The following is an 8,970-nucleotide window of genomic DNA, read 5'->3' on the forward strand; positions in this document are numbered from 1 at the left end:
CTATGGGTAGGATGGAGAAGTCGACCTTGTCCTGAAACAGTACCACAGTGGGAAAGGCAGGATGATTGACCTTTGAACGAAGATTAAAATTTTGATCATCGCGTGGGACTATAGGAGTTTTCAATCAGGAGAGAGGAAGAACGAAACAGTTAAAGGGGCACTGGGAAATAAGAAATTGTTTTACAGTTATATCACATGAGTTGTCTTTATTCCACATAGTGGCTACACAAAAGAGGGCTTTTCAAATGCCCGTATCCTTTGACTCAGTCATTTCACTGCAGAGAAAGTGTCCTGCTGTAGCTTTGTAGTCGAAAGCAGCTTTTTTGCTTGTTTGTTTATTTGTTTTCAGGATAGATGTTCATCTTTGCTCTTGGAATGTTACTCTGAGGTTTTCTTGGTTAGGCAAATCTAAAGAAGGAATGAAGACTCCATTGTCTGGTAATTAAGATATACTAAGACTTCCATCTCCAAAGGAAAATGGAGCAATACTCTCCCCATGCCAGCCTACCTTTATGAATTAAAGAGGTCCATGAGGCTAGGTTGAGAGCCAGTAGGAGGCTAGCCAATAGAGTCATTGAAATAAATTAACCATGGTACTTCTGGAGAAGTGGTTATCCCTATAAACCCAAAGCGCTAAAGCCTGGGACTCCGGCCTATTCCAGCCCATGAGAGTATAATACAGTGGGGTTGCCTTCTCTTGCAAGAGTGCCGAGGTTACGGAAGGGCTCTGGTCCAGCCCAACAGGGAGCTCCAGCAGCTTCAGAGACACCTTCCCTGTGTAGCAGTTTTTACCTTCATGAGGCCCAGACTTTCAGGTGGGAGAAATTTAATGGAGGGCCTTGGGACTTCTACCTTAGTGACTCAACCAAGTCCCAGTGCCATCTTACCCGGCACTTATTTCAGCTCCAAGGGACAGTAATACCACAGCCTTACTGTGGTTCCATCCCCCGACCTGGGGCCAGGGTGCCTTAGATGCTTTACAGGTGGCAGGATGAGCACCTTAAAGGGACTTCAGAGGGGTATCATGGGTGCCTTATCTCTGAACACAACCTATGCCTTCTAATGCACTTTCTCAGCACTACAGCTGCTCCATGAGTGTGGGACTTCACTGCAACTTCTACACCTCCCACCCAAAGCTAGTGTGTAGTGGGCAATGGCCCTGCCACAGGGTCAGCACACCAAGGCCCTCAGAGTCCCACGCTGGGACTCCTTCTTCTCAAGGCATCTGCAAGACTAGTTCTCACAGAGATAAGGTGACAACCTCTGCTTAATAACCATCTTTAAGTGTATGAGCCTGCTATTTTATTTTAACTTCAGTATTACTTCCCTGCCTTACACAGGTGTAAAATTTCAATCCCCTGGCTACCCTTTTATGGCTTGATGGGCATTTAAGATGACCTCTCTGTGGTTCAGTTTGGCCCAGAATTGTTTACTTGCATCTTTGATGAAGAGGAATTTTGTTTACAGCCTCTAGGCTTCATTCAGGCAGACCCTATTTCCAAACAATCCTTTTACAGAGGTAACTGGGAGGCACTAAAGAAAAAGCATGTCACTTAAGTAGGGAACTCATACTGTTGCAGGGGATTATGGATTATTTCTTGTGGAAAGTAAAAAAAAAAAAAAAAAAAAAAAAAAAAAAAATGCTCTCCTTGTGCTGAGAAGTGTTGGGAAGGACAAAGAGTAGGCCAAGTGGGAGGGCTCAAAATGAGCCTGTTCTCATCTCACTTCTGTGGAAGAGCCAAGCTTTTCAGTAAACCACATGAGATTACTAAGGCTAGTGCTTAACTTGGGGTTCATGAGGTTTGTAGGCTCTAGCCAATTCTGAATTTCAGTTCTTTCACTGAAGTTGTGTGAAAGTATTGAGTTTATATGAGTGTTTTCTGGGAAAAGACTTGATTCTCAAGGAGATTCATGATCTCACAGCTTCAGACTCTTGCTATTTGAAAGTGTGATCTGAGAATTATCTGTACGGAAAACACCGTATTTTTTAAAATGTAGGTACCAGGCCCACTCATTCAGAACTTTTTTTGATAAATAACAAATAATTTTTTTAGTATCAGTAGTTGCAAATTATTGCAAGGATCATACTTATACTAAAAAGTGTATTCATTGTTTATCTGCAATTCAAATTTAACTAGCTGTCCTGTATTTTGATTTACTAAATCTGGTAACCCTAACTGATAATGGGATGGAAGAAACTCCTTTTTTTAAAAAGAACCTCAATGCAAGGGCTGTTTTTTCATAAATAAAATTAATACTATACCACTGATCATTGGACAAGTGAGATTATATCACTTGTTCACTAAGGCCTGGAATATACTTCTAGTCCCAGCCTAGAGAGGATTTTTACAGTCATTGGAAGCAACCATGTGCTTTATATCATAGAGTTTTGCAATGTACAGTGACCAGGGGAATAAGTTTTCGTTTGTGCACTCCAACCTTGGAATTTCTGACATTACTGATGTCTCTTTGTGGTCTTAAACCAAGAAGTCTGGTTAAAAAGTTGCTAAGGATGGGTCAAGAAGGCAGCGTTTTCCTTTCTGTTTTAGAGCAGACGCTAATAACCACCCTTTTGGTAAAGGAACATTGCCACCTAGTAACAGAATCAAGTATTTTCCTCTGGGCTCCAGACAAAGGATTGACTCCAACTGCACATTTTCAAGTGCACACGTTTGTGAATTTGGGTTTTGGTTGCCTTCCACTTAGCATTCAGCATTTGTAAGCTTTCCACAGAATGCAGGGAGAAAAAGCCATTTGTCAGTAGAGCCTCAGTTTGTAAGAGGCAAGTGGGAAGGCTTTTAAAAAGGCCAGCAATATCAGTAAGAATGGATTCTCCTTAGTATATACTGGCAAATAGGAGAATAAAACAAGCAAAACTGAGTGGATTTTGTGGAAAGAAACTTCTTTCTGCCAAAAACTGTGTGGATGGAATTGCTATTTATGTTGCAATTTGTAAAATGACTGAGTTTTTGATGCATGCACAAAGCTGAAAAAAATTACTAGTAAATAGTACATAGAATCTCATGTATAAAAATAACCTTACTCAGAAGCATTAAATTTGGCCCCCACTTGAGATCTGAGGATCAACTAAGTGCTCCCTAAGTCCAGCTAATTCTGCAGTCTTAAAACCCATACCATGGATTCATGGTCTCACGGTCTCACGTGTGTTTCTAATATAAGGGATAAATCTTGCCATCACAAAAAAGAAACTATTTAGTTAGAAATTCCCAAGTGTTAGAAGTAGGGCTTTTTTTTTTGTCTTCTTTTGCTTAGTAAGGGGGCTATCACTATTCAAAAAAATTCAACTTACAAATTTAATAGTCACTCTTGGCTTAATGCCACCTGTTTTAATAAATAGGCCCTTGTGAGCTGTGGCAACAAGGATTGTGTTGCTGTTATAAATATTTACTGTCCCTTACTTGATGCTGAAAAATCCAGAGTCCAGAGTAGCGTAGTCTTACAGTTGGTTACTAAGTATGGAAGTGTTTTGCAAGTTTATACAACCTCCATCAATGAGGTTATTTTACATATTAAGAGAAAAAAAAATTTGAACATTTTAACTTTCAATTAAAACAGTCACCTATTACTTCTTGAACACTTAAAATAAGCCAGACCTTGAGCTACAAGCTTACATAAATGAGATGGGTATCATAATGCCCATTTTACGGATGTAGTTTGGAGAATTTGAGGAATTTGGCTCAGATCACACAACTAGTAAGTGTCAGAGTTACACTTCTGTGCCACTGGTTGGTCCTCCAGAGGCCCGGAGAGCTACCTTACCAGCAAAAGAAGTAGTTAAATTCTTTCAGTACTTAGCTACATCTTTTCTTAAGCCAGGCTGAAGCTGGTAACACCTATGTATCTAGCCAAACTGCTTCATACTATGTCCAGAGAGAAGGATGGTTGAACTCAAAAGAAACCCATAGCAAGATCACCAGGTCGTGATCGCATGACAAAAGGTGACCCTACCACAGGAGATTCCAAATGTCTCAGGTAGGTCTGTGGACATTGGGTAATGTTCCGGGAATTGAATGTTACATAACAAACCACTCTAAAATTTAGTGGATTAAAAAAGCAACTACATATATTTTGCTCACGAATCTGCATTTTTGGGCAGGGGTGAGTGGGGGTGGTTCCTCCCTGCTCTACTGAGCTTCAGCTAGCACAGCTCAAAGGCTGGGGTTGGAATCATCTGAAGGCCCGTTCCCTTAAATGTCTAGCTGTGGGCTGGGGCCTTCGCTGGGGCTGTCAGTTGGATCTTTTATATGTGGCCTCTTTATATGTTCTAGGCTTCCCCACAAAATAGTAGCTGGGTTCCAATGGTGATTATCTATTGGGAGAAAGATTCAGGCAGAAGAGGGATTTTCTTTTATGACCTAACCTTAGAAATCTCACCCCTGGAACCTGTGAAGGTGACCTTATTTGGAAATCACATTTTTGCAGATATAATCAAGTTAAAATGAGGTCATACTGCATTAGAATGGGCCTTAATCCAATGACTGGTTTCCTTATAAGAAGAGGAAAATTTGGACACAGAATATACATGGGGGATAATGTCATGTGGCAGTAGAGGCAGAGATTGGAATGATGATCTACAAGCCAAGGAATGCCAAGGATTACTGGCAACCAGCAGAAGCGAGGAGAGAGGCATGGAAAAGATTCTCCTTTGGAGCCTCCAGGGAAAGCTGGGAACCAGCTCTGTGGACACCTTGATTTCTCACTACTGGCCTCTTGAACTCTGAGAAAATAAATTTCCGTTGTTCTAAGCAGCTTCAGAAGGAACCAACCCTGCTGACACCTTGATTTCAGATGTCTAACCTCAGAAACTGTAAGAGAATCCATTTATGTTTTTTTTTTAAGCTACCGAATCTATGGCACTTTGTTGCAGGAGCTCTAGGAAATGAATGCACTCATGTCTGCTGCATTCTATTCACCGAGACAGCAATGGATTCCACCCAACTCTAAAGGAAAGGTAATATGTCTTCAACATTTGGTGGAGGGTAGCAAAGTTCTGGAAGACAATGAGGAACTGGAAATAGTGCTATGGTTAGTTTTAGAAAATACAAGCTATATCCTGGGACATAAAACATGATTGTGTGCATGTATACATGCTTAACAATGGGGATCGAATCTAAGAAATGCATCATTAAGTGAGTTCATCATTGTTAGAACATCACAGAGTGCACTTACACCAACCTAGATGGTAAAACCTACTATACACCTAGGCTATCTGGTACAGCAGATTGCTCCTAGGCCACAAACCTGTACAGCATGTTACGGTACTGAATCCTATAGGCAGTTGTAACACAATGGTATTTGTGTATCTAACATAGAAGGGTGACAGTAAAAATATGGCATAAAAGATTAAAAATGGTACACCTGTATAGGGCACTGACTGTGAATGGAGCTTGCAGGACTACAAGTTGCTCTGGGTAAGTCAGTGAGTGAGTGGTGAGTGAATGAGAAGGCCTAGGACATTATTGTACACTATTGTCGACTTTATAAACACCATACACATAGGCTACACTAAATTTGTTAATTTTTAAAATGCCTTCAATAATAAATTAACCTTAGCTTACTTTAACTTTTTTACTTTATAAACTTTTAATTTTTTTTAATTTTTTGGATTTTTTGCTTAAAACACAAAGGACCGGCCGGGCGCGGCGGCTCACACCTGTAATCCCAGCACTTTGGGAGGCCGAGGTGGGCGGATCATGAGGTAAGGAGATCGAGACCATCCTGGCTAACACGGTGAAACCCCGTCTCTACTAAAAATACACACACACACAAAAATTGGCCAGGCGTGGTGGCGGGCGCCTGTAGTCCCAGCTACTCAGGAGGCTGAGGCAGGAGAATGGCGTGAACCCAGAAGGCAGAGCTTGCAGTGAGCAGAGATCGCACCACTGCACTCCAGCCTGGGCAACAGAGCAAGACTCTGTCTCAAAAAAAAAAAAAAAACCACAAAAGGCTGGGCACGGTGGCTCACACCTGTAATCCCAGCATTTTGGGAGGCCAAGGCAGGCAGGCCACCTGAGGTTAGGAGTTCGAGACCAGCCTGGCCAACATGGCAAAACCCCATCTCTACTAAAAATACAAAAATTAGCGGGGCATGGTGGCACACGCCTGTAATCCCAGCTACTTGGGAGGCTGAGGCAGGGAGAATTGCTTGAACCTGGGAGATGGAGGTTGCAGTGAGCCAAGATTAAGCCACTGTTCTCCAGCCTGGGTGACAGTATGAGACTGTCTCAAAAACAAACAAAAAAACAAACACCACAGATACTTTGAATATTTTCTTTCTTTATATCTTTATTCTACAAACTTCTTTTATTACTTTTTTTTAAATTTTTAAAAAAATTTTTGTTAAAAACAAATACATGAACACACACATTAGCCCAGGCCTACACAGGGTCAGGATCATCAATATTACTGTCTTCTACCTCCACATCTTGTCCTAATGGAAGGTCTTCAGGGTCAATAACATGCATGGAGCTGTCATCTCCTATGATAACAATGCCTTCTTCTGGATACTTTCTGAAGGTCCTGCCTGAGGCTGTTTTATAGTTAACTTAAAAAAATAGGAGTATACTATAAAATAACAATAAAAAGTATATAGTGTAGTTAATACATGAACTAGTAACATGTCATTTACTATCATTATCAAGTATTATATACTATATGTAATTGTATGTGTTATACATTCATAGCTAGACCAGTAGGGTTTTTTTTATATCAGCATCACCACAGACACGTGAGGTGTATGTACAGTGTTTATAAAGTCTATAGTAGTGTACAGTAATGTCATAGACACAATCATAAAACATGATTGTGTACTTTTTCAGTTCCATTATAATCATCATATTTGCCATCCATTTTTGGCTGAAAAGTCATAATGTAGCATGTGACTGTCTAAGTTTTAGTATATTCTTAACTGCATGTTGAAAGGTACTGGAGTTAGAATTCCTTTCTGCCCAGGCTAAGTGCTAAGGTTGGTTTCATAGGAAGGGGTTTATTCTGGGAATGCATACATCCAAAGGCAACAAGAGCTGCAAATGTTTTTCATGTGTGTTTGTTGCTACAAAGAGAGCTTTGAATGGACTTCAGTGATATGGTTTGACATAAAACTAGTGACAGTCTAGAACAATCATCCACTTGCCTTTGCTATGTTAAATAAATCTGTGGTCCCTGAAGCTGGGCTGTGAGGAAGCTGGGCTATGAGGACGCTGAGGGCTCTTCCCTCCCAAGGTGCCTGCCAACTCACGCACTGGTTGCCCTGACATTAGTATGAGATGTGAGGTTTGGTGGTATAGAACTCCAGGGAGTCCCATTCCTATGTTCAATGTCAGTGACACCCGCTGAGGTGCAACTTTTGCGCTTTCTGTACAACCCTGGCAAACTGAATGATAGCGCCTGGGTTAATACCTCTGTGAGCCCTGCGTTTGTGCACAAAGCACTAACAAGTTTCCCTAGTAAAAAGATCGTCCCTCACCATTATTCAGCTGGTTAGCTTTTCTGCCTTTACATTCTCCCATGTGGACAGGCATTGGGGAAGGGGAGGGAGCACAGTGCTGAAACACCTCTCCTGGACCCGTGCCCATCTCCACTGGGGACAGGTCTCATACTAGCTCCCTGAGCATAAAAATCCTGTCTGATTGCTTCATCTGCTATGCGTCTGTGGGGATCCGCAAAGATATGGGATCCAGTTAGTCTCTGGTGAGTCGTTACCTTGGCCGGATGGGGACATGTTGCCTGCTGCACCCCCCTCTTCGCGCTCTCTCATTTCATTTCCTGCAGTGTGCCAGCAGGATGGCCCACAAGCCATCTACTACTCGGACAAGTACTTCGACGAGCACTACAAGTACCGGCATGTTATGTTACCCAGAGAACTTTCCAAACAAGCACCTGAAACTCATCTGATGTCTGAAGAGGAGTGGAGGAGACTTATGTCCAATGGCGTCTAGGCCGGGTTCATTACATGATTCATGAGCCAGAACCACATATTCTTCTCTTCAGAGGACCTCTTCCAAAAGATCAACAAAAATGAAGTTTATCTGGGGATCGTCAAATCTTTTTCAAATTTAATGTATATGTGTATATAAGGTAGTATTCAGTGAATACTTGAGAAACGTACAAATCCTTCATCCATACCTGTGCATGAGCTGTATTCTTCACAGCAACAGAGCTCAGTTAAATGCAACTGCAAGTAGGTTAGTGTAAGATGTTTAAGATAAAAGCTCTTCCAGTCAGTTTTTCTCTTAAGTGCCTGTTTGACTTTACCTGTTACTTTTGTTCAATAAAGTTTGTATGTTGCAGTAAAGAAAAAAAAAAGATATGGGATACAGAAATGACTGTCTATGTCACCAAAGGGCATTCCCTGAGCTCTTTCAAGCCACAAACTCTCCTTTGGTGAGAAGTCCTTGAGCCTCAGGTACATGAAAAAAACCACAGCCTGGGAGTCTCATCCCTTGAGGTCTCTAGTCCTGGCTTTTCTTCTAATGGGTGACTGAGTACTTTAAATTTCAATTTGGAAAAATCAAATTCAATGATGGGTATTCAGTTTTATTAAATAGATCATTAAGCCAGAAATTAATCTCCCTACACTCTAGTCTTTGTTTGCTCTCCAAGCCTGCCCCACTCAGTGGAAGCTAAATGTGCCTTTTCTAGGACTACCATGCAGGAGTGAGGTCAGGTAGACAGGCTGGGGGCAGACAGGAGGGGCCACACTGTCCTAACTCCTTCACCCCTCTAGGAGGAAAGGGCAGCATTAGAACAAAAGGTGGCTCCTGTGGCTTCTTTCATCGCACATTTATGGAGGCCCCCACACCACCTTTGCTTTGTTCTTTGGTAGCCTCACCCTCTTTGAAATCTTTGAGAGATATTGCTCCACTCAGCCCTTTAAGGCTTTGTCCCAGACAACGCAGCTGTGAATGAGGATGAGGAAGCACTGGGATGCATTTGGACACTCTGGCGTCT

The 8,970-nt window shown here is 41.8% G+C and overlaps 1 pseudogene; it reads left to right on the plus strand.

Annotated features, from left to right (window-relative positions):
• On the plus strand, nt 7,740-8,225 carry LOC107987082 (cyclin-dependent kinases regulatory subunit 2-like; annotated as a pseudogene).
• The last annotated feature ends 745 nt before the right edge of the window (nt 8,226-8,970 follow it).

This window comes from Homo sapiens, chromosome 9 (genome assembly GCF_000001405.40).
Source record: "Homo sapiens chromosome 9, GRCh38.p14 Primary Assembly".
Taxonomy (NCBI): domain Eukaryota; kingdom Metazoa; phylum Chordata; class Mammalia; order Primates; family Hominidae; genus Homo; species Homo sapiens.